The sequence below is a fragment of the Homo sapiens genome, chromosome 4 (assembly GCF_000001405.40).
Source record: "Homo sapiens chromosome 4, GRCh38.p14 Primary Assembly".
Lineage (NCBI taxonomy): Eukaryota > Metazoa > Chordata > Mammalia > Primates > Hominidae > Homo > Homo sapiens.
Window position 1 is genome coordinate 61250647 of NC_000004.12, and position 25245 is coordinate 61275891.

A 25245-nucleotide genomic window follows, 5' to 3' on the forward strand; every position below is an offset into this window, starting at 1 on the left:
GATACTTATACATTAGTACATTTTTGACGTGCATGCTTATGTAAGAACTGCATATTTTTTATCTCAAATGAGCTGTGTGTTACTGACAGCTGAGAAGTTACAAATAACTCCAGGTAAATACTGGTTCTGATATTTGTTACTTCTGTGCTGTTGGTAAGGTCACTTAAATGCCTAAAGACTTAGTTTCCTCATCTGTAAAATGGGAATATTTATAATACTCTTTTTATAGGTTAAATGGGAGTGTTATAATAAAATCATAAATATGAAGCCTTAACAGTATATCTGGAGCAAGAGATCATTAAAATTATTTTATTACTACCGTTTCTATTATGGAAATTAACTTAGAAAACTAGATAATTTAACTAGAGTGATAGTCCATTTATATGTTGCTGTATAAAAAACTTCCCAAATCTAATGGCATAAAACAACTACTGTTTTATTATGCTCACAAATTATGTGGCAGAATTTGGACAGGGCAGTGAAGGTGAGTGCTTGTCTCTGCTCCATCATGCCTGGGGCTTCAGTGGGGAAGATTCCAAAGGCAGAGTGGGCCTCAGACGTCTGGGGCCTGGAATCATCTGGAGGCTCTTTCACTCACACGCCTGGTTTCTGGGCTGTGCTGACCAAAGGCTGTGCCTAGCTAGACTATTGACTAGAGAACCTACACATGGCCTCCCCATGTGACCTGGACTTCTCCCAGTATGACAGCTGTGTTTGGAAAGGGAACGCTCGGAGAGCAGGTGTATCAGGTAACCACGAGGAAGCTGCATGGCATTTGATGACCTCACTTCAGATGTCAGATGTCCCATGGCATCACTTTTGCCACATTCTATTAGTTGAAGAATTCACAGGCCCTCCCAGATTCAAGGTGAAAGGACACCGACGTTTAAGTCTTCTTGGTACAGTGTCGAGCAACTTGTGGTTATCGCCAATGAGATGACAAGGAGTAAACATGATTAACTTTGAAAACAGTTTTTCTATAAATTATTCTCAAGAAAGTAATTTAACTATAATGTGTCAACTACTATGGGCAAGCAGTTTCAGGTTTCCATCAGAGGCCTAAAACTACTGTAAATTTAATCCTAGATTTTCATCTTCTTAATCTTGGATCTTCACACTCTCAACTCTAGGATTTTTTTTTTTTTTTCAGTTTAAAAGTCATTGTGATCCTCAAGCAGTGATACTTTATTTTTCTTGCAGAAGTTTCTTATCCTAAGATTCTTTTTTTTTTTAATTTTTTTATTTTTTTTTTTAGAGATGGAGTTTCACTTTTGTTGCCCAGGCTGGAGTGCAATGGCCTGATCTCAGCTCACTGCAACCTCCGCCTCCCAGGTTCAGGCTATTCTTCTGCCTCAGCCTCCCGAGTGGCTGGGATTACAGGCACCTGCCACCATGCCCAGATAATTTTTGTATTTTTAGTAGAGAAAGGTTTTGCCATGTTGGCCAGGCTGGTCTTGAACTCCTGACCTCAGGTGATCCACCCACCTCAGCCTCCCAAAGTGTTGGGATTACAGGCATGAGCCACCGCGCCCAGCCCCTATGATTCTTATGAGGACAAATTGCCTATTTTAAAAATGTCTAGATCAGTATCATGCATATAAGTTCATTGTGTGTACATTAAATTAAATAAAAACATGTCTGTAAACCCCTTTTAAAAGCTATAAGGAACAACAGGAGGTAAATTTTTCTTAACTCAGTATGTTATTTACTAATATTGTATCATTAACATCATCATTACACTATTTTGTCAAAAGATTTGAAAAAAAGTGAGTTTGATAAATGTTTTAAAGTTAGAATTCATTACAGACAAATAAGTGATTCAAATTTTTGAATGACAGTGAATGAATATTTTTAAAACTTTGTTCTAGGGGCTGTAGTTGTAATTGTGTTTCAGTTGTAAATGTCTCATTAACTTTATAAATTGATTCCTGTTATTTGTTTGGAAGTGAAAGCACAATAATATCAAATTCAGCTAATAGCTCGCTTTGTCAGATCACTGTATTTTAGATCGTTTCTGATTTCGTTTGTCTCAAATTAGATGAACTTTTTTTTTTTTTTAAGTCCCGGTAGCTTGATTCAAAATGTGACATTTTGGCACTCAGTAGTTAATGATACTATTCTAAACTTTAAAATCAAAAAGGAAATATATTTACATCTAAATGACCATACTGTCTTCTGCTCATCATGTCTGCTATTTAATTTTTATTTTTAGTGACCTCAGAGTAGGAATACCTTACATAGGCTCATGTCTGAAAATGATTTGAAAAGCCAGGTAAACTTGCCTTTTCTGGATGCTTTTTTCTCCTCTGAGTGAGGTGAGGACACTGAGGTTAAGGTGTGTCATGCATGTATTTTTTTACTTATTTTCAGTCTAAGCCAGTTATATGAGTAGCTCTAATGGTTAACTTTGTAAATCATTCAGGAATCTGGCTGCTTTCTGAAAACATACCTGGGCCTTCAGGCAGCCATCTACAGGTGATTGCGCCTGGATGTTTGCCTAAAGATGATTTAGAAAATTGGTTGGAAGCTTTGCTCTTCCCCAGCTATCAAGAATTAACCTGCCAGAAATTTGCAAACACAGCAAAGTTATGTTAATGATTCTGACTCATGCACAAGATTTTCTTTTTTAAAAAATATAAAGCTGACTATTCCAAATTCCAAAGATTCAGCATTTATTATTTGGTAATTTACTTTTGTATTGCAGAATGAGTAGGACATTCATTACCAGACCCCTTGACTGTCTCAAACCTTTAGGTTGTTGACTCAGTGTGCTTATTGGAGGTAGGTAACCAGTATTCTCTTACTCCATTGACAAACATGGGTTCTCATTTGTTGGGAAAAAAGAGAGGAAAGTCTTTGTACCAAAGACTTACACCAAGAGGAATTGTTGTCTGATTTCCAAACAGGCCAGGGAATATACTGTGTTGCAGGATCCCCTTGGGTATTCATTAAAGCATAGTGACTGTGTCACAGGGGTGAGAGCCTAGAGAGCTGACATGGACCTATTTTGTAATATGTGCACAACTTTGTTTGTATGTTCAGTTCCACACACACACACACACACACATATATACATATATATATAGGATTAAGTATATTTATAGCCTTTCCAATCAATACCATTTGTATTACAAATTTATTTCTAGAATTACTTTGTACTTTATAATGAAAGTGAGCTTCAAAGGCTTTGAAATTTTGCATATAAGTTAGTAAATTGTTATCTCTGTGAGAGTTGCACCAGATGATCTCTAAATGCTCTTGCAGCTCTAAATCCCTATGATTCTGTGAACCACGATTATTTTTTCCCAAATTAAGCCTCCACCTATATGATTTTTGGCCTTTGCTTAATTCTGAGTGTATACATCTTTATCAAAATACTGTACAAGCAGTCAAGTCGCATTATCAATAATCAGTAGTTGAGAAAAAGAAAGCTTGCTAATTTGGGCTTTTTTCATATTAACCACTGCTCAAACTCATTATGCATTATTTCTTTTTCAGTTAGAGGAGTTCATTTACATTCAGCATCTTTGGGTTAAGTCAAGGTGAAAAAGCATTCACCGTACAGTCCCCAATTCACTTCCATCTTCTAGAATTGTGAGTCATTTTTTTAGAAGTTTTAAAATGGGGATTGTAAACTCAGAAGCCTCATGGGTCAGGTAGGTGTCATTAATGAGTTAGGGATATAGTGTGTAAATGTTGCCAGAACCTCACATTATTTTTTAAGAAACTATTAGTCCAGATTTTTCTTATGAAAGTTTCTACCTTCTTAGTGCTATTTGAAATTATTTTAAAATCTTGAATGCTAAAGAGATAAATAAATAAGAATGACATGACTGTGCATGACCAGGTCTCTTCATTCTTTAACTTCTACCTGAAAACCAGGCATACTCTTCAACATCATGCTGCTAGATATTCTGTTGTGAATCACTTACCCTTATAGATCCCTCCTCTTGGGGATTTCCACTTACTCCCTCACTGCACGGTTGTACAAGTGTGAACATGCCTGGAAACTATAATTATCTGTGGATTTTGACAAAAGATCCTCAGTAGTTGTTACCATGCTTATTAAGTTCCCGAACAAATTTTTATCTCCTAAATTAACATCAGGTTGACAGGCATCCAGGATGGATGCTGATTCTCTGGTTATCTGCACACTCGAAACTTAGTTTTATCAGTCATTTTTCTTCCTTGTGGATCACCTCAGAACCTTTTACATTTTTTCCAGTTTATTTTTTGTCTTTCAGTATCATCCCTGCTGTTGACCCAGTGCACACCACAGCACCAATGGCTTCCTTCATTCTTATGTCTTTTAATTTTTTTTCAAGTAATTTCATAATATGACACTCTTGTACTTTTTTCATCACTGAAAGAATAGGATGGATAATGTACACAAACTAACTCAAATTGCAGCATAAATATCATGAACATACATTAGATTAAAAGATGTTGCTATGGCTGACATTAGAATGACATCTCCTGACTGCTAAATTCATTTGTTGCTGACAGTCAGGGTTGGTTGATATCCCGTTGTTCTTGAACACAGACTTGCTCACTTCAGTGAAAATTTTAAGGCAGAAAGTTCTCAAGAGCTGCTGTCTGAAGCAAATCTTATGGCCAGAAGTTATAGTATATTCAGACTGATGCGCTAGAGTTTTCGAAATGATTCATTTGGTCTTCTTATGAAATAGTTTTGAGATTCTTCTTAGTAAACATTGGCTTGATTTTGTTTCTGTAAAATTTTTTTTTCTTCTCCGCTGTATGGAGAAGACTGTCATGAGTGAACTTGGCAATTGCCTTGTTAAAACCAGTTGGACGTTATCTTCCACATTGCGAAGCTATACATGTCTGATATGTTCTGAAAGAATAGAATTTATAGTTAGATATACTATTTTTGATTATTTACTCAGAAGGAGACATGTAATTATTCTTATGTTGTCATGAAAATCTATTAAATGCATTTATATTTCACATCAATGTTACGAAATTCCATTATTATTATTTTACAGAGGGGAAGCCAAGATACAGGAGTGGAAATTACTTGGCCACATCGCACAGGTAGGAAATTAGTCTTGGAAGTTTAACACAGAAATCTCATTCTTAACCACTATCCTGTCTGCCTCTCATTATTTCATTTGAAATAGCTCACGGTTAGTGTAGGCAGGGTCCAATAAATTGTTTCCTAGCACCATACAAATCAATCCCTAGTAAGTTGTTATGGAAGATTTTGTAAGAATAGTGTAAAGCTCCTCTGTTGATATTTTGAAGAATTTACTGTTCTCCTCTTTTGCAAAGTGAATATGCATGTGTCTGCGTCAGCCTGCAGTCTTCTGGCCCCTCCCCAATCTTTTAAGTTCCTTCAAAGATTGCTGCAGTTGTTGGATCTACTTTGCACGTCCTTTCAAAAAATATGGTCTTTAGTCAAAGGGTCCAGGGGACTGAAACACTTTTTCAGTGAATAAAAAAGTTTTCATTTCTCAAAACACATTTTTTAAGCATTAACTTTACTTTTCCTTCTGATAAGTTTTTCTTCTGTTCTTTTCAATCAGGTGGCCATTCTCTTTACAGAAAATTCTGAGACAACATAACAATTGGTTGTTTAGCTGTTTTTAATCATTTTTTTCTTTATCCTTTACTTTTTACACCATTAATCTCAAAATGTATGCCTCTTCTTTCCTTGTTATGTGTGTATTTAAGTATTGATTTAAACTGTAGCAGCATTTGTTGGATAATTAGGAATTTTAAAACTCATCAGAAGTTATCTTTCTGCAAAGCTGGCTAGAATTGATGAAAACGGTGAGTTTTTTTCTGAACTGGTAACAATAATACAATAATTATCCTTTTTTTTTCTCAGTATGAGCCAGTAAAAGGACTTGACATTTTCAAGAACATCATTTAAATCCTTCAAGATAAATTTTCGGAGATTAGCATCTGTTGTTTGTTTGTTTATTTTGTGTGAAGAAGTATTGTGAGTGAATGAATACCAAATCAAACACAGAAAGCGCATTTTCACTTTTGCCTTACGAATGATTCGCTTTATGTTAATTTTTACCTTCTATCAAGTATAATCTGGAAATAAACTGAGTTTATAAACTCTAAGGATGATTGCAGACATCCAGGTTAAAATCACATTTTAAAAATGTGGTTAAATTTGCAGTGCATTTGACTAACTGTAGTCTCATATCCTACTTTTATTAGTGGAAAAAGAATCTGTGCCTTTGAAAAACTAAATTCAATATTTCCTACAAAAATGCCAACAGTTTTTTTGATTCTCTTTCTTATTTCTTATACTTGAGGTCTTTTATGCACATACTTAACACACACACATAAAATCAAATTTTAGCATGAATTGAAACATGAAAATTATAACACAGTATTTCCCAGCTGAACACAAAAGTATGCTGAAAAATCTTAATGTACATTCCACAAAGCCAATGATAAATCTTGCCCATAGTTCTTAGAGGCAGTTTCATTGTAAAATATTTTCCATGATTTTATTTCACCTTCCAATATTTTGAATTCTTCAGGATCAAAATGTGGTATTTCTATTAAATCCATATTCCCAAGTCTATCACTGACACATTTGCCCTCCTATGAATAATATCACTGTAGTCTGTGATAGATCACAATGTCAAGAAACTGATCTTGTTTCAATTTTTAACTCTGTTGAAAGAAATAAAAAATTCCATTTGCTTCCAAGTTGTGGAGAGAAGAAAGAAGACAATTATTCAAAACAATAGCTTTAACATAATATTTATTTATGGTTTCTAATTAGTTCTGTTGATTATTATTCTTAAAACCACAATAATCCTTTGGTAGCAAGTATATGTTGTGTGGGCCAGTGAACCTATTTGTTTAAGTCCATAGACAAGATGTGTATTTAAGAAGATTAGGGTTCTTTGAACATAGTATTAGACATACTAAATAGGTAGCTCAGGAAGACATTAAATGTATTTTATTAGTGCAGTTTTTAAAGACAAAGATAAATATTAAAATTCAACTCCCCCCAAAACCCAATATGGATGTGTTTTGGTAGATATGATGAGTAACAGTTGAAAGTAAAAATCAAATAAGATATGATAATTAATGTTAATATGGTATCAGTGATCATCTGTAGTCAGTTTATACAAACTTATTAAAGATTATTTCACTTCATACCATTTTTCAATTTATTTCGCTTAATTGAATTAGAGGTGTGTGTGTGTGTGTGTGTGTGTGTCTGTGCGTGTGCGCACGCGCACACCCCATGCTTTAGGAAGGAGGCACAGCAGTTTTGGGGAAAATGTGTGTGTGGCCCCAGCTGCCTGATTTTTCTCTGAGAGTCAGAAGTGGTGTCTGAGTACATACAGGTTAGGAATCCCCAAGGTCTGTCTTCCTTTAGCTACTACCAGCCCCCATCTTCCTCCAGGACTAATATTTTTTAAACCTTAGTGCAAGGACCTATCCCCCCCAGACTAAATACTGATTATCACAAGAGATCTTGCTTGCTAGCTCTGAATGGACTTGTGGACCAGGTCCCTTGATAAACTGTAGTGGGGGTTCCAGTAATACAGGCCTCTTTCTTACAACAGCAAAGAATCCCCAAATGAGGAGACACTTTGCCCCACAAGTCACCATGGTTTTGGTGCTGATGGTTACTTTCCTTCTGTATTAGAATCCTCTCTACATACAGCTCTTGCTATATTTAGTACCCACCAGGATCCCCTGGAATTCATAAGCATGTGGTTTATGTTGTATCATTGCAATGTGGTTCATGAAGCCTTAGGGCCAGGAGTCCTGGATTCTGGTTTTTGTTCTGCTCCTCTGGGATGAGTGACCTTGGAAATGTTGCCTTCCTGATTCTTTCCTTTGTAGAAGGGCACTGCAAATAGCATCTGCCTCCGGATTGTTGTGAGAACTAAATGACATAATGCCTAGGTGCGTAGGTCTGTTTTAGGCACATACGAAGTTCTCAGTCAGTGATACTGAAATCAATGTTTATATAGTCAGTGTATACATTATATACAATGAAATCAGTGAATTATTATTGACACTTCTAAGGTGTTGTCTAACCAGTGGGAGCGTACACCCAGTGTACTATTCTTTCTTCTTCTTTGTAGCCCCTAGAACTATAACATCAGGGAGTCTATAAACAATAGATAAGTTAGCTACCTCAACGGTAATCACTTCACTCATATATATCACAAAAATAAACAAAATAACCTACTTCTAGGAAGTATAAGTAGATAATATTGAACATTGCTAATGCAATAAAAATAACCCTTATTTACTTTGCTTCCTTAAATCGCATATCAAAATAAGAAGATACTAATTTGGACTTTCCTCTATCTTTCCAAAATTTTAAAGCATTCCCAAATTTGCCTCATTAGCTCTATCACTCCAGGCACACTTCCTCATCAATTGAACTTACCTCAAAACGAATTCATGATATATGCCAATAAAATCATTCACTAGCATCTTCCCATTGTCACCATATCTAACATTTAAGAAATAAAAATGGGCCGGGTGCGGTGGCTAACGCCTGTAATCCCAGCACTTTGGGAGGCCGAGGCGGCGGATCACGAGGTCAGGAGATCGAGACCATCCTGGCTAACACAGTGAAACCCCGTCTCTACTAAAAATATAAAAAATTAGCCGGGCGTGGTGGCGGGCACCTGTAGTCCCAGCTACTCAGGAGGCTGAGGCAGGAGAATGGCGTGAACCCGGGAGGCGGAGTTTGCAGTGAGCCGAGATTGCGCCACTGCACTCCAGCCTGGGCGACAGAGTGAGACTCTGTCTCAAAATAAATAAATAAATAAATAAATAAATAAATAAATAAATAAATAAGGCATGACAATTTAATAGAAGATCATTACTGCTCAGTATTGGTCAGGCTTCTTCCTAATTCTAAGCAAACTCAACAAAGCAATTGTTCCCACAGCCTAGGGTTTTCACTTTTATCCTCGTAGTGTTTATATTGCATGAAGCCTTCCTGAACAGCACGTCCATATGCTCGCCGCTGAAATCACTAGGAAATGTCCTCCTCACCAATGAGGTGTGAGAAAGGAGGAAAGCAGGAGTGTTTATTTTTTACATCTTTTTTTCTGTTACCTTTTTTTTCTCCTTTGAACATATTTATATTCTCAAATATTCACTTTCATTGGAAATCTTTGACATTCTAATATAACATGAGGCAAATCAGTGCAGACTCAAATAGGTTACCAAGATACAGGCCTGTGACATATTAGATTTTCTCTTTTCCACAATTTCAAAAATCATTACTTTATGATTCAATTTAGGAAGCATTTGAATAAGTACTTGAATCTAACACTACTAGAGGCTTCAGGGATTCCCCCCAAAACATTAAAATGGTTCTTGCAATCGAGGAAATTCAAATTTCATTGCTGCTTATGAGACGTGTAAGATTAAATGTCAAAATATATGATAAACATGCTATATATTAATACCATTCAAGGTCAGAGTTGGGAGAGATCAGAATGATTCAGATATTTGAAGATGGTTTCATTGAATAATAAACCTGTAAATATATGAAACATTTGAAGGGTATTTGAAACCTAACGATGGTTGTTTTATATTATATGGATGAGAGATAGAACAGATAAAGGCAAAAATGAACTGTATTCATTTTATTATTACCTTTTACTAAAGTATTTAACCAAGTGCTGTTGACATGAAAAACCAAGAATGTACATCTCTGTCTGTTCTTTTCTCTGAGCATCGCCGGATTCCCGTGTTAATGAATAATGAAATGGATAGAGTCTGTATAGTGTAGTGCAGTTTATGCCAGAAATAGAGTGTAATGGTAAGAACAAAGGCTTTGGTGTTAGACAATGCGGTATTGTATGTTATTTTTGACATTTACTGCCTTTCTAATGTTGGAAAAGTTACTTAATGTCACTGAGTCTCATTTTCTCTTTTAGGGTGGTTCTAAGAGTTAAGTAAGATAATAAATGAAAAGTGCCTAGCAGAATGCATGGCATAGAATATGCATCAATACATAGAAATTTGACCGTCACTTGAATTAAGAGACTGGTTTAGGAGCATTGTAATCTTATGCAATAAAATCTTAGTGGCCTTTAAAAAATTTTTTTTATTTTTTTGAGACAGGGACTCACTCTGTCACCCAGGCTGGAGTGCAATGATGTGATCTCAGCCCGCTGCAATCTCTGCCTCCCAGGCTCAAGTGATCCTCCCACCTCAGCCTCCCAAGTAGTTGGGACTATGGGCGTGTACCACCATGCCTAACTAATTTTTGTATTTTTTGTAGAGACAAGCTCCCACTATATTGCCCAGGCTGGGCTCGAACTCTTCAGCTAAAGAGATCCTCCCCTCTTGGCATCCCAAAATACTGGGATTACAGGCATGAGCCAACACACTCGCCATTCTCATTTGTTATTTGTATTAAGAGAAAAATATCCGTTTACCAAGGTGTAACCTCAATCTCCAGGGCTGAAGCTTGATCCTCCCACTTCAGCCTCTTGAGTAGCTGGGACTACAAGCATCCAATACCACTCCCAGCTATTTTTTGTTCTTTTTCATCTTCTTCTTTTTTTTTTTTTTTTTTTTTTAAAGGAGACAAGGTCTTGTTATGTTCCCCAGGCTGGTTTCAAACTCCTAGGCTCAAGAGATCCTCCTGCTTCAGCCACCCAAAGTTCTGGGAGTACAGGCATGAACCATTGCACCTTGCCCTCCTGTATACTTTAAATCATTTCTAGATGACTTATGCTACCTAATACAAGGCCTACACATTTTTTTCATTTGAGTGGGTTCGATGTAGCACTTGGCACACATGAAATTCAAGTTTGGTATCTGGGACTTTTTGGAATTTTTTCTGAATATTTTTGATGCACTGTTGGTTGAATCCATTAATGCTGAACCCACGGATACAGAGAGCAATTGTATTTTGACATCTGCCAGGGTGTGTGTGTGGTGGTGGTAGGATATTTTTCCCATGGAATTTGGCCAACACTATAAATAAGGAATTTTTATTTTTTCAAGAGCTGGTTTATAGGCATAGTGCTGAATAAAAGAGACAAATGATTAAAGAAAGAATAACAATAAAGTATGCTACAAAACATAATATAGTGTTACAATGTCGTCTTTGCAAGGACATCTAAACCAGCCAGGGAGGTCAAGGAGAGCATCTCCTTTCAAAAGCAGTAACATCTAAATTGACCTCTGAAAAATGCTAGGATTTGCCATGAAAAGAGTGAGGATAAAAATATTTGAGGCAGAAAGAAACAATGTGTGTGAAGTTCCAAAACTAAGACAGGATTGTTCTTTAGTCAACTGAGTTCAGTAGGGTTAGAGCTTAGACTTCAAGGGGAGTTAGAGATGTTTGGGAACGACGAGATTGAAATATTAAGAGAGACCAAGGAAGGGCTTAGTAAACTATGTTTCAAAGGTTTATTTTTGAGCACAATTCCATGTTGAAGGTGCTCATCATGGAATCAAGACTTATCTCTGAGCGTCATCTTTGCTATGCTCACGTTATAATAATGATTTTTACATTTTGGCAGTGCCACAGCAGTGTCCTGGCATGTGGTATGATCATTCAGCCATCTATGACAATGTAATTATAATACATTCTTTTTATTATGTATCATATGTGTTATTTTGTAGTAAAGGTCTTTGTGAAATTCAGTATGCTGAGTGTCTGATCATAGTAACCCTTTCAAAATTAGAAAATAAAATCAGTTTGGCATGATTTCACTAAAAGTCACCCCTTTTCTCTCTAAGTGCTAATTCTGTGTTATATCAGTTATGGTTTTACCAGAAAAAAATTAAGGTCGCCATTGTGTTGTTTCTAGATTTCACTCTTTTTTAAAAAAATTGGGCAACATTTGCTTTCAGATTCTCCAGACACTGTATTAGCATTCGTCATTCTCGTATCTTTTACTCACCCGGGCTGCTTCTTACCTGGGCCAGTAACCGGAACTTCTCTGGTCTCTTATTATCATTTTCTCTCTTTTGGGCCCTCCTTTTATCTTAATCGTATTTATTCTATCATAGTCATTGTTAAGAGCGTTTATCTTAACAGAAAAAAGAAAAAGAAAACAGGAGCTGAGGACTTATGCTCTCTCTCTCTAATTTTGTTCTACTTTATACAATTCTACCAACTTACCACGGAATCACAGACTCCTTATCCTTTTTATCAAATAATTTGAATTATGTGGAACCAATTCTTATTTTTGTTATTTGATGCACTACAGCCACTCTTTAAAAACTGCTGTAACTCAACCAGAGAAGGATATATCTTTAAAAATGTTTCTGGACCAGCCACCAGTTTCTTATCTCTCAAGTGGTAGTACTGGGGAAGATTTGCAAAATAGCCCCCAGAAAATTAGGATCTGTGCATATTTATAAGAGGTTAGATTCTAAGACAAACATGAAAATTTCATATTTGTGATTTCTGAAAATTGTTGAATGCAATCTTGATATATTTATTTATTAAGTAGATAACGAATAGCTAAATTAAAAGGTTATGCAAATGTAAAATAATTGCAGAAACAATTCATATTCAAATTTACGTTTTGCTGTATTATTTCCTGAATATATATCATTTTATTAACATTATCAAGTGCAAATAATTAAACTGAAATTTATAATATGTAAAATATTTTAATAGAAATTGAGTTTTGTGGTTAAAAAAAACCTAATTTTCCCAGAAAAATAATATTTAAATTCACTTTGGCATTCAAAAAATATTAGGCTATTCCTAATGGGGAGAAACCTGGTAACTGGGGTTTAACCCTTTCAGTATGAGCTGTAATTGAATGTAAATTGTAAAGCAGTTGTCTTGCATAGAGTGCATTTGAAAAAAAAAAAAAGACCCTGAAAAAGTCTCATCTCTTTGACTTTTTAATGTATAATTCTAGCGTTTCATTTTACAAAAAGTATAAACACTTCTAAATCCTACTCATTTCAATAGAATGTCTCTGTTTTCCATGAGGTACCAGAAAAAGCCTTAAATGATATGTGATGTGCTGCTAGTCGTTTAATGAGACATTCAATGCAGTATGATTATGACTCTGTTGCTCAGTCATTTCAAGTTCTGTCCATCAAAATTGTGGGCACTTGCTTCTCAAATGAATCAAAAAGAGTTTCCAGGACCAGGGAGATATAAGTATTGAAACAGTAAGCAACACCCATACCATAAAGTAGAAGTGATTCATTGGTTAACAGAAAACGTAATGTCCAGAGCTTCATGGTTATAGATAAAATAGGCTATGTTTATTTATCCATTTAGGGTAGTTTTTTTTTTTCATTTCGTTCCAGGTTAATTTTGATTTCCTTTGTAATAACGGGAAATTATTTTGAGATAGGCTTGTTGGTATCCTTGATTATCTGTGTGGTGTCTGCATGAAAGAGGAAACAAGTAGATTTTCAGGAAGTTTTCTTAATAGTTCAATGCAATCAGACTGGCCAATATTGAGAATTACTGCGCCATAAATAATTGTGGTTGGTTTCTAACTTTGATTTTATTCAGCCTAATAACAAGTATTGCTCTATAGATAATTGTTGACGGTTGCAGACTCTGATTTCGTTCAATTAAGCTGGTAACCTTTTTAAGAAACTGCTTGGGAGAAAGCCAAGAATTCCAGTGAACTGATTTCTAGGGGGACTGAATTGAAATTGTGTTAGCTTCAAAAATGTTTCATGTAGGTCCAGCTGTGTTAATTAACCTTTTCCTTAAACTACCCTCTCCACAATTGGAACCCCAAATCGGCAAACATAGCAAAGGACCATTTTATCTAGATTTAGGTTTTTCTCAAAGTGATTATAAACTTGGAAAGACATTATAAAATAGGTTTTTGACATATAGTAAGTGTATGAGGGCTGCTCCTTCTTTCTAAATCACAGAAAAATTCAGATTCTCTCTCCTTCCCTTTCTTCCTTTTTAAAAATCACCCATGTATGTATTCAAGAAAAGTAAAACCAGTGTATATTACACAAAGGTTTGCTTTCTTTATGTCAAATTGTTAATTTATAATGGTAAATACTGTGCTTGGAAGACAGTAGGAAACTCTATCAAACGTGCCCTTTACTAATAAAGTAGAGAATTGTCATTTAGAGTAGTATACTTGACCTATGGCAAATACTGCTAGTACTGGAATTCCATTGTTTATCTCTTGTGCTCTACACAGTGGGAGGGAAAAAGAGATGCATTGTATTGAAAGTATACATTATGCTTGGGAAAAAGTGTTTCTTTAAATAAACAAAACCTTTTCAGTAAGTACCAGTACAAGCTAAGAAGGCCAAGGTCATAGGTCTCAGTAACCATGTATGTCAGTAAAAGGCATCTTGTGTGTTTCGTGGTTACAGTTGGTCTATAAAGTTGTATTTTTGGTCACCCAAGTAAGAGGCAAGAGAGCATTCGTAGGATTTCCTACTTGGAAAAGGTAGGGAAGAAAAAAAGAAAAGTGAGAAGACAAAATTACAAACTTCAAAACATGCTTATTTGATGATCAGTAGTAGGTGTTATCTTTGTATACAGAATCTTTGGGCTGATTTTCGTTAATTGTATCAACTTGAGTAATAGTTCTTATTTCTGGGAAATTAGAATCTACCAAAGAACAGCTTGGGAAAAAAAACCTGTTAATACTGGGTTTCAATACGTGAAGCTTTGTCATTTGCTGATGATCTTTATTCATCACATTCACAATTCACAAGATTATTTCTAAGGTGGGTTTGATTTACTGACTTTTCCCATGCTCCATGAGAGCTGCCATATGCCTGATGATTCTGGGCTGTCTCTTCTAGGTTTTTTATCCACCCCTTGATAGCAACAGTTACTTCCTATATCCCTGGGACAACTAAGCGGAGGACAGTAGTTAACTAAAGTGGCTTTGAACAGTGGCAGAAAAATGTGCTGGGAATACCTTATATTCTAAGCAACCTCCAATTTCTGTGAGCTAAAAGTGCTATGTAATGTGATAAAGAATATAACATCAGGAGTTTTGTTTCAGGAGAAAAAAGTGAGATAATTGGCTGAAATGGACAAGTTTTGAAATTTACTAGCCTTGAGCAATGATGAATAACTGAAAGTGCTGAATCAAACTGGCCTTTGAATTAAAGCAATATAACATACTGTAGAGGTTCGTCATTTCCAGCAGATAGGAGGTCCTGGCACACACAGTAAGATAATGTGAAGAATTAGCTTCAATCTATGATTTTTGACCTTCAGTACAAGTCTAACTTAAAATATAATCTTCGAAATTTGCATTTTGGAATTTGTCTTTTCCCTGTTCCTTGCAAAACCACATACATCAATATACATTGATATGTGGGGAAAATGATCTACAGTGGTGTAAATTTAACATGCAATTCTGGAATACTAACTTTTGAATTTCGCATATTTAAGTCTTTTTATATTTCTAGAATTTTCATACAGGATGTGATAACTTGATAACAAACTCAACAGTAATTTGCACCATTTCAGGTAACCTACTGATTAAATTTTTTTATACTTTATAGTTATTCTAACAATGATTCCATTTTCAGAGAGGTTCTCTGGGCTTTCTGCTTCATGCCTCCTCTAGCCACCCTGAACGATTATATCCTAAGGGTCCGTATTCTAAAGGTTTTCTGACACTGGCCTTGGTTCTCCATTTCATGATCTTTCTGACTTTAGACAGAGATGTTTTCTAGGCTTTTTCTATGCCTTACTTCTCTTACATCTTTAAATGCATTTGTAGATACTTTTAGATTAAATTGTGCTCAAACATATTCATAAAGCAGAACAAACAGCTGACTTATATTTGGGAGGACTTTTACATAGTGGGAGTTCTAGACTCTAAGAACATGCCATTCAATTTTAACATCACTTCTATTGAAAAAAGAGATTTATCATGTATTGCTTTGATTTACCACATCCTTACTGGATGTTTGTGGACAGAATTTGTAGATAGGAAATGTTCTGCAGTGGATCCCATATTGAAATTTGTGGATTCCATTTGAGATTTACAGACTAATATAAAAACATAGCGATACAAATTTAATGACATAATTCTGAGTGTCATAATTGTCATTTCGAATTTAATGCTTATTCTTATAGAATGAAAATTGTTTTATATGTAAGGTAAATCTAAGCCTTCCAAATATATTTTATGCTTAATACAAACATCTTTTTGTTCCAAATTAGAGTAGTCCAGTAATTGAAGTAAGCCAGAACTAATGTCAGTGCCATCATTCTTTAATAGTAAAATCATAGGAACGTTGCTGCAATAAGGTAGTGGAGAGTTCAAAATCATAATTTCATTAATGGAAATATGCTGGACTATCACTAATCAATTTATTTTTGTTTAGTTTTTAATAGTATTTTTCCAAATATTTTAAATTTAGTCTTAGTATTAGACTTTGTCAAAGTATTATAATACTGAGCCTAATAGTAGGTTTGATGTATTGAATGTCATACTTAAAACATATTTAAAAGATTTAAGCAGATTCAAAATAAATAAGTAGCATAATGAAAACAGTTATAGTGCTAGCTGAAAAATTAAACTTTCAATTCCATTGGACTATATTCATAATAACCTTTTCTAAAAACAAAATAAATGTCGAATGTAATGAATTGCCAGAATGTGATATTTATGAAGCATCAATCAGCATTTTCTTATTTTCAAGGAAGGTCATAGCTGCAACTTAGCAGGAATAAAAGTCTCTGCTCCCTCCCCTAAGAAGGATTCATGTGTGTTAAATAAGAGTCACACAGAGAGAATACCTGTAACCCTACTGTACCATCATTGAGCTCAGAGACTGGCTAACTTGCAAGCACCTTCCTATTTTCCACTACCATGCTATATCATCCCTAGAAAGTTGAGGAAGCACAGATGGATTCATTTGCACCTACAGTGTCAGCTTTCTCATCTTTCTTTTGATTTTAGCTTTCCTAAAAACCACTCTCAACATTACAGCACAGAATAGAATGAACATTTACTGTGAATTGATATTGTAAGTATGATTAATAGGGATGGCTGCCCCTTTTCCTGATATCATGATTCAGTAACAAATAAACAAAGATGCCTTATTTTCTCTTTTCCCGCCTCTCTCTCATGTACTGGCATACAAAAACTGTGAGCCTCTCAATAAAAAGGCAGGCTGTACATGAACTTAATCACTGTATCTATTTCAGAGAAGATATCTGTCTCAAATTGGAGTTAGGGTATGGAGAGTTTTAGTTGACTTCACTTTTTTTTATTTTAAAGTTTTGATTAGAGTACTATAATTATAAAATAGGTAGCATAATTATATCTACAAAGTGATGTTGAAAATACTTTAAAAAATAAAACATCCTAATCAAGTAAGTTTTATGGAAGTATAGGAGCAGGCTTTTAGCACAAAATCTTGGGAAGGAAAAATAGATATCTGACCTTAAAATTTATATATAATCATCACATTGGCCAACGTGCCATTTTTAAATGACTCCATGTAAATGTATGACTGGTTTTCTCAAACACGGATTCAAGTTCATAACATTTATTTTCCTTTTAATATGCATCTAAATTACTAACTGACCAAAACAAAATAAAGTATTGGTAACTTGGGGGGAAATTTCTGTCTCAGTAAGCTAACTAATTGCTTCAATTATTTCAAAATTTTTTCCTATTTTTAAAGGAAAAAGTCCAATTTTTGGTGCAAAAGTCACAGGCCTAAAAGTGCAATTTGAAATAACTGCAGCAGCTTTTTTCCTCTGATTTTATTTCTTCTTTCTATGTAGATGCAAAATGCAAAATTTATCTCAAGAGGAATAGTTATCTTTTATTTGCTGATTAAGCTAACCAAATATACATCTTATTATTTTGTTTTGTTTTAGCCCAGGGTCTAATAAAGTTGTATAAGAATTTCTTGGGCCTCAGCCATTTATTTGAGGTAAATACTGTGGTTTGAGAAAAATTTTCATGTAACTTAATTTCCTGAGGAAATGATCTATGAAATATTTAACATCTAGTTGCTAGCATACTTTTTAGTGCTAATAACCAACTCCAAAGAGAAAGAAATGGCATTCTTTTTCATTTTATTCCAGTGGTGTGTGGCATGTTAAAATATGACACATATTTGGAAAAATACATTATATAAAATTAAATGTTAAACCTGTAATGCATCATTTGATTGATTGAGCAAGATAATTTCTTGAGAAACATTGCTACTAGATTATGGAAAATATATGATCAAGTTGTTAAGATGGCAAAAACCTACATTAATTCTTTAAAACTAGGGACATTTATGTATTTGGAGAGCACTATTGGGAAAATAAGTAATTGCGTCAACTCATTCATCATTTGCCCTTTATACTTAGAGCTTTAAGAAGAGAATGGTAAGTGATACTATATCCACTCTTTCTTTGGCATTCAGACAGTAACTTGTTCAATTAAAAATTCTTGTTAGGTCAGACATAATGGATTCTTGTTGTTACTTTAGTATTTATTCAATGAAAGAGATCAATATTTTTGGCCCCAAGGGAGCTGCACTGATAAGAGACTCTGCAGTAAGTCTCTCTGTTCATTATAAACTTTTGGCTGGCAGGTGCAGTGTCTGCTGTATGACCAGTTTTAATTAGAACATCAAGGTAGAATGAGAATTCAGACATTCTTTTTCTCTCTTTTTAATAGCATATATGCTTTTTAATAGCTTTTTGCCTTCTCCTTCTTCCTTTTCTCTGGTGTGTGCCCTTTTTAGAAGGTATTTCTTAAAGGGAATTTGAGAACAATAGGTCTGATTTTGAGAAATTTAACTATTATCCACTTGATCGCATGTGTTTCAAGTTTGAGTAGATTAAATCTGATGATGGTTGTGTAGCCTCATTGTACGAGACAGGTAGAGAAATAATCATCTTTCATTATCATGCCCACCTTTGCCAAGTTTTTAATGTATCTGTGTTTAAATTTAATGGAACTGATTTGTGATTTTTTTGGAAACATGACATTAAATAAAGCCATAAAAAACTCTATTTTGCTTTGCAACTTCAAATGCTTTCTAAATATGGCCTAATGCTCTATTCAAGTAACAAAGTCGTTTGCAGAATAAGCTGTCACATTCAACAAGCTCTAATTTTGGCTAGATCTATTATTTTACAAATTAAACGAAGGTGCAGGTCTCTGCCTTCCCCGCAACAAAATCTTAACCAGACTATCACATTTAATCTGCTAGATGATTTATTAACTTGCCATTTAATTCATTTCATTAAAATACGTAATTCAGTTTATAGATTTGAGAGCTGGCAGAATCTTTTACAAATCATTTAGTTTTGCCCCTTTCTTTTACAGATAAAGAAACTTGAGACCAAGAGAAATTAAATGGCATGCTCAAAGTTACATGTCAAATGGTTGCTACAGAAACCAGCTCCTCTAATTTAGTTCTCTTTCCAAATAGCATGGCAAAGACATTTGTTACTATATATAAAAAACAATACTTGTTTAAATGTATTTATTAATAGACATACTGATTTGTTTTCATACCCCAATTTACTTAGAGGTATCATAATACAATACATAATGATTTAAACCTGTGGGACATGCAAAAAGGAATCATGTTTAAAGGTCAGAATACATAAAGGTTAAATGTCAGAGGCCCAGAAATAAGAGGTACAGCTTTTAAGCCTAAACTTTAAATTGTAGGCTCTGTAAGTGCCAGGACCATGTTTTCTAGGTTTTCATAAAAGTAAACCTTAAAGGTCCGAGAACTCACAGAATATTGTTGCCTGAATAATTAAATATTCCAAAGAAGGTGAGAATTTCAGAGAATTTTACTTGTTACTAACACCAGTATTTCCCACACTGGAATAATACTATTTGTTTACTTTTCAGTTAACACTCTTAATATGAAAAAAACCTGCTTATTTGAAATTAGACATTTCCTGAAGCATATCTGTCTAGTCAAAAAAGGTCCTAATCATATTAGGAGAGTGGCAATTATAGTAGTTTAGACTTTGCGTATAACATAGCGATACATTAGAGGAAAGAAGTATAAAATGCCGAGGCAGGAAATTATTGTTATCAGAAGTATATTTATACTACTGTGGCCATTAGGCAGACTAAACATAAGAATGACCAAGAAATGGAAAATATCCTCACACCTGCCATTTATAACAGCTAATACATATGGAGTCTACTGCTTGCCATGCCCAAAGCACCTGATTTTCTCTTTATGACTTTACTGATCAGTTTTTGCATTGTCTGTAATCATGTTGAGACTTCATTTTGGAAGACCTGATACTGTTGTTTTCTAAGTTCAAATAGAAAAGGGTAATATTCATATGGCACTTTTGTACTTTGGAAAACTCTGTCTCATAATAAGCTGAGGAAACCTGTGGTTACAGGAAAGAAGAGTAAACAGTATCAGTTATTGAGAGCCTCCTATATGAGAGGCATGTGAGACACCTTCCCTTAGAAAATGGTAAAGGAAGGTATTAGTGTTCTTAAAAAAATAATAGTAACAGGGAAATCTAGCTATGAAGTGGCAGAATTCAAATCTAGGTCTTCAGAGTTGAAGTCAGGCCTATAGACTCAAGTGACTTCCGGGGCCAGGGAGGAAAAATGAAATTGTGAAATTTATATGTCTTGTAAATCTTTGCTCTTCACAGTTGTATAGCATTGAATGTCTAAGGCCTTGCTCTTCAAGACTTGACAGAAATGACTGTTACCGTGTTTTTCAAATGTCTCATCTCACATGAGGTTATGCATTATAGCATTAAGAACTATAACTCCCCTAGAGCTATTTGTGGCTTAGAATAAGAGTTTTGTTAAGATTTCTTAGTACTTTAGACCTTAAATGGAAAAAATTGCAAAGTGAAATCTATCTTATGGTACATAGTGCTTTTATACACACATCAATGTGAAGTAGTTCTTTATGAGATTGATTTTGTAGCATTGAACAACAACAACAAAAAGTAAATTACTGAAGGCTGAGACAGGTAAGGAAACAGAGAAGTCTACCCACATTTCTGAACTCTTTGCTGAAGGCAGCTGTGTCCTAGAACTTACTAGTTTATGACAGACTATACACTGCTTTTGAACTGTTTCAGATTACTCAGAAACAGCATTCATGGCCAGCCCAGAATTAATGTGTAAATGACCTTTCACAGAACCAGGATGGAGGAAGACGTCACTTAACTTTGGAAGAGGTGGATATTTAGATGTCATGAACATCTCTAGGCTTCTCTTAGAGCTAAATAGTAAAAGGGTTTCCCTTTCATAAATCTTCATTCTCTTTATAGAATGAATGGGTGATATATAGTTCCATCTACTTCTAGATGCTTGCTGTTCATTTGTGTGATGTTTAATGCAAAGCAAGAGGAAGGAAAATGTAGTTCTTTAACAAAGATCTTTTCAGTATATGTTAAATTTACCACTAGAGATGAAAATACATTGTTTTTTAAGTGTTTGATTTTGTGAGGTCTTTGGGTAGTGGAATCAATTCACAGTCAGTTCCATGTAATTTGGATATGTGATTATTACTTAGAATCCCTGATTTCTCTAAGTTGTAGTTTCTTATAAGACACTAAAACATTTTACTTTATCATGCAGATGATTTCTTATGCAAAAGCAGTGCTCTGTAGTGCTTCTACAGAGTTTACAAAAAATGGTTTCATGATACTAATTTTTAAAGTTTTATGTGTCAGTTTTTTTAATTTTAATGACAAAATTTTCATGACAAAAAAATCAGTATATGGAAGTCATCAGCCCTAGGTTTTAAAAGTAAGAAAAGAAAATGGGAAATAGAGTAATATCTTACTTTTTTCAAGAGAAATAAAAGAAAATTAATTGGTAAGAATAATATTGCTTTCACTTCTTATATAAATCTAATGTCTATATCTGCCCTGCATTTTATGTAATGAGGACTATAGGACAGATTTTACTTTATGAGCATTCATTTTAAATTAAAATAATAACGTAGTCATGATTTTCATTAATTAGAAATGCCCTATTCTAACATTTCCTCAGACAGCATGGAATACACTGCTATGGCCTCTAGTAGGACTCTTCAGTGTGACGCTAATTAAAACCAACATTGATTCTGCTGTTTTATTGACATACATCAAATTTAGAATGAAAAGTAGCTTTTGAGTGACTTTAATTGTCAAAACTATTGAATTAATTTTGATATTTCTGAGGAAATGATCTTCATTTAAAGTAAAACTTACTGAGGGTTTGTGTAATCAAATGCCTATCAAAATACTTGATATTCCTGTATAAAACATGCTCTACTAAAGTAGTATGTTGAAGATAAGTCAAATCAGCTTTTAGCTATTGTGTGGTATTCTGGAGAGGTGTAGGACATTGTAATGTGGATCCTAGACTCAGAGTGGCTGGGTTTGCCTCAGTCATGCTAGCTGTGTGACTTTGGGTAAGTTACCTACACTCTCTACTACTCAGTATTCTTATCTGTAAATAGGGGATGATGATAAAACCTAGGTAGGATTGTTGTGAGACTGGAATGAGTTTTATGTAAATGCTTAATACAATTTCTGAGCTGTTAGCTCTTTTTATTTTTGTTGTTGCTATCGTTTTTAACACAGAGTAAGGAGACATGATGTACTCAGGACCAGATTTTAGTTTACTGTTGTTGGATTTTTGTGTTTTGCCATGGAAAATAATGTTTAAATAAGACCACTGTCATCACGCTGGAGCTCTGTTTTCCCTAAGTACGGTATTTGAAAGGAATTACGCAATATAGTGTCTTTTCCCAGCTGGGAGAGGCAAGTCACTGCTTAGATGGCCGGTCCTGGATATGAAGAAATTTGGTCTACTCAGTGTGAGTGACATATTTACCCTCCTCCACCATGAATGTGCCCATGCACTTAGCCATTTCTGCAGAGTTGCACAGATTCTGTACTTGCTGAAAAATATGCTTGCATGGAAAGGCCTTGTGGCGTATTTTGTGGCATTGAATTGCTACCATCTGTTTCCTAGCCAACGTTAAAAGAAAAAGAAAAAAGAAGAAGTAGCATTAGAAAATGTGCCATTTTACAAGTGCTACAGTAAAATTTTTTTTACACTTCATTCCCTACCCTCGAATATGTGGATGTAAGAGTGGCTTCAGATACTTTCAGATTTATCAATTCACAGCTGCATTTAATAAAACATTTGAAGTTTATCACAAATGCTTTCACTGTTAACTACTACTTCCCCGCACCCCGTGGAATTGGTGGTGCAAGTCTTAATTACATTTTGTGTTATTGACTAATATATATTTTAATATTTATTTTAAAGATATTTCTTCCCACAACGATATCTGTTCCTAGGCATAGAAGAATGGCATTTTAAGAGAATTTGACATAGTAACTATTAATAGCTTGAAAACTGAAAATTCTGACTCTTACAATAAAGACTCTATTGTCTTTGGCAATCCCATTTATAATAAAGCATGCTAAGGTGACCTTTATCTTTCTATTAAAAGGTGAATCCATATACAACATAATAAATGAGCAAAGGATTGAGAAACCTTAAAGTGCATATGTAGCAATATCAGAGGAAGAAGCTGCTGTACTTTGAATAGCTTTGGTAAGAAAAAGTTAGCTAAAGTATAGAAGTCTGAAAAGTATTTGGTGACAGAGTCCTGGCATGAATAGTCTTTTTCTACCTTTCGTCATGAAGAATCTCTAACAGTTTAATGAGCAAATATAAAAATGATAAATGCTAACATTATCATAGAATCCATGGGAGAGACTGCCATCTCCAGTATGAAATTAAGGAGTTACTTTCAAATTGTATCCCATTAATGGAAGACAAGAAGAGAAGAAATATGTTATGAGCTTTAAACTATGTTGGCCCCATGTTGAAAACATCAAATTCCTTGTAACACTGAATTTCCATGAGAGCAGGATTATTTATGCTGTGTTCAGCAATTTATACTCTCAGTATCTAGCCCAGAGCTTCTCAGTAAATGCGTTGAATAACTATATTTACCAGAATGTGATTTAAAAAACAACATATTAAGGGTTAAAAAATGTAAGTTCTGTGTTTGTTTTTTTGGTTATCAGGGACAGTGTGCTGGTTAGTAAAGAAAACCAGATTGGGCCAGATAAAATGGAGTGATTTTGGAGGCAGAGGCAGGAGGATTGCTTGAGGCCAGGAGTTCAAGACCAGCTTGGGCAACATAGCAAGACCTTGTCTCTACCAAAAAACAAACAAACAAACAAAAACTGCTTGGTGTGGTGGTGCACGCTTGTTGTCATTGCAACGTGGGAGACTGAGGTGGGAGGATGGAGCCCAGAAGATCAAGGCTGCAGTGATCATGCCACTGCACTGCACTCCAGCCTGGGTGACAGAACAAGACCCTGTCTTCAAAACAAAACAAGATGGACACTTTGAAATCTGCTTCTGGCTTTGCCACTAACTAGTTTTTTGTTTGTATGTTTGTTTACCTTGGGAAAGTCACTTTCTTTTTCTAGGGTTCACTGTTCGTTCTGTAAAGCAGTGGCCCAGAATTGCAACTGAGGGCACTTTTAGCCTACAGAATTTATAGATGATGGAGTCAACCTGCTATACTGCCCCAAACTACATACTGTTCATACAACTGGAACAAGGTAATTTTTCTTGGCTGTCAATGTTGTCAGTTGTGCCATTTAAACCTGTGATTCACTCTTTTGTATTATCAGAGTAACTATCTTTATAAGTTTATCTGAGGGTAGGGATTCTGCCTTTATCAACTTAGAATGGTACCTGAAACAGTGCTTTTTAAAACCTGATAAAACACTTTCTTCAGTAGTCACAAAAGTTACCATTTAATGATAGCTAAATCTCCTAGAGCATCTGCCTAGTGTTGGTAGCTAAAGGGTATTTGCTTTCATTTTCATAGGATGTGCATACATGAGTTCATGTTGATAAAGAGTATGCTATCTAATCAACATACTATCTGAAGATAAAGCACTGGGCGTCTGGTTTTTCTGTTTTTCCCCAGAAATCTCAGAGTGTCCTGCATAGTCGATCTAGTCTGAAAAGTTTGTTTCTCTATGTTCTTTGAAAATTTGAATTAGATTGCTTTAGAGGGAGCATGCATGTTTCAGTTTGGCATAGATGTTGCCACTTGCTATTACTTCTTCTCAACCCACTTGACCCATTTATATAACCTGCCTGGTCCCTGTAGGCCTTTAAGTGTGAACCATGTCTAGACAGATCAAGACTGGGCATTTGGTTACTTACATATCTAAAATAAAAGTGATGTCTGTTGGCCTCAGGGGAGACCCTGTTGAATCTATTTATTCTCTTAAAAATAAAAGTAGAAAACTAAATAAAGATTAAAGAAGTA

General features: G+C 34.9%; 2 protein-coding genes across 58 annotated transcripts in view; both read left to right on the forward strand.

Moving 5' to 3' along the window:
* The window catches only part of LOC124900173 (uncharacterized), a 74900-nt gene extending 51560 nt beyond the window's left edge, over nt 1-23340 (forward strand). Inside the window, exon 3 of the mRNA XM_047416555.1 lies at nt 2705-23340. The gene's annotated coding sequence lies outside the window, so the exon portion shown is untranslated. The remainder of the gene's footprint in view (nt 1-2704) is intronic.
* Nucleotides 1-25245, forward strand: part of ADGRL3 (adhesion G protein-coupled receptor L3) — an 878010-nt gene that overhangs the window by 50321 nt on the left and 802444 nt on the right. For 17 of the 57 annotated variants that reach the window (XM_017007931.1, XM_017007940.1, XM_017007941.1 and 14 more), the window contains exon 1: nt 5008-5055. The exons of 39 other annotated variants lie outside the window; for them this stretch is intronic. The gene's annotated coding sequence lies outside the window, so the exon portion shown is untranslated. Of the gene's footprint in view, nt 1-1225; nt 2782-3498; nt 5056-25245 lie in introns of those variants that run through there. One more of the 57 variants, XM_017007929.2, reaches the window with a different exon arrangement.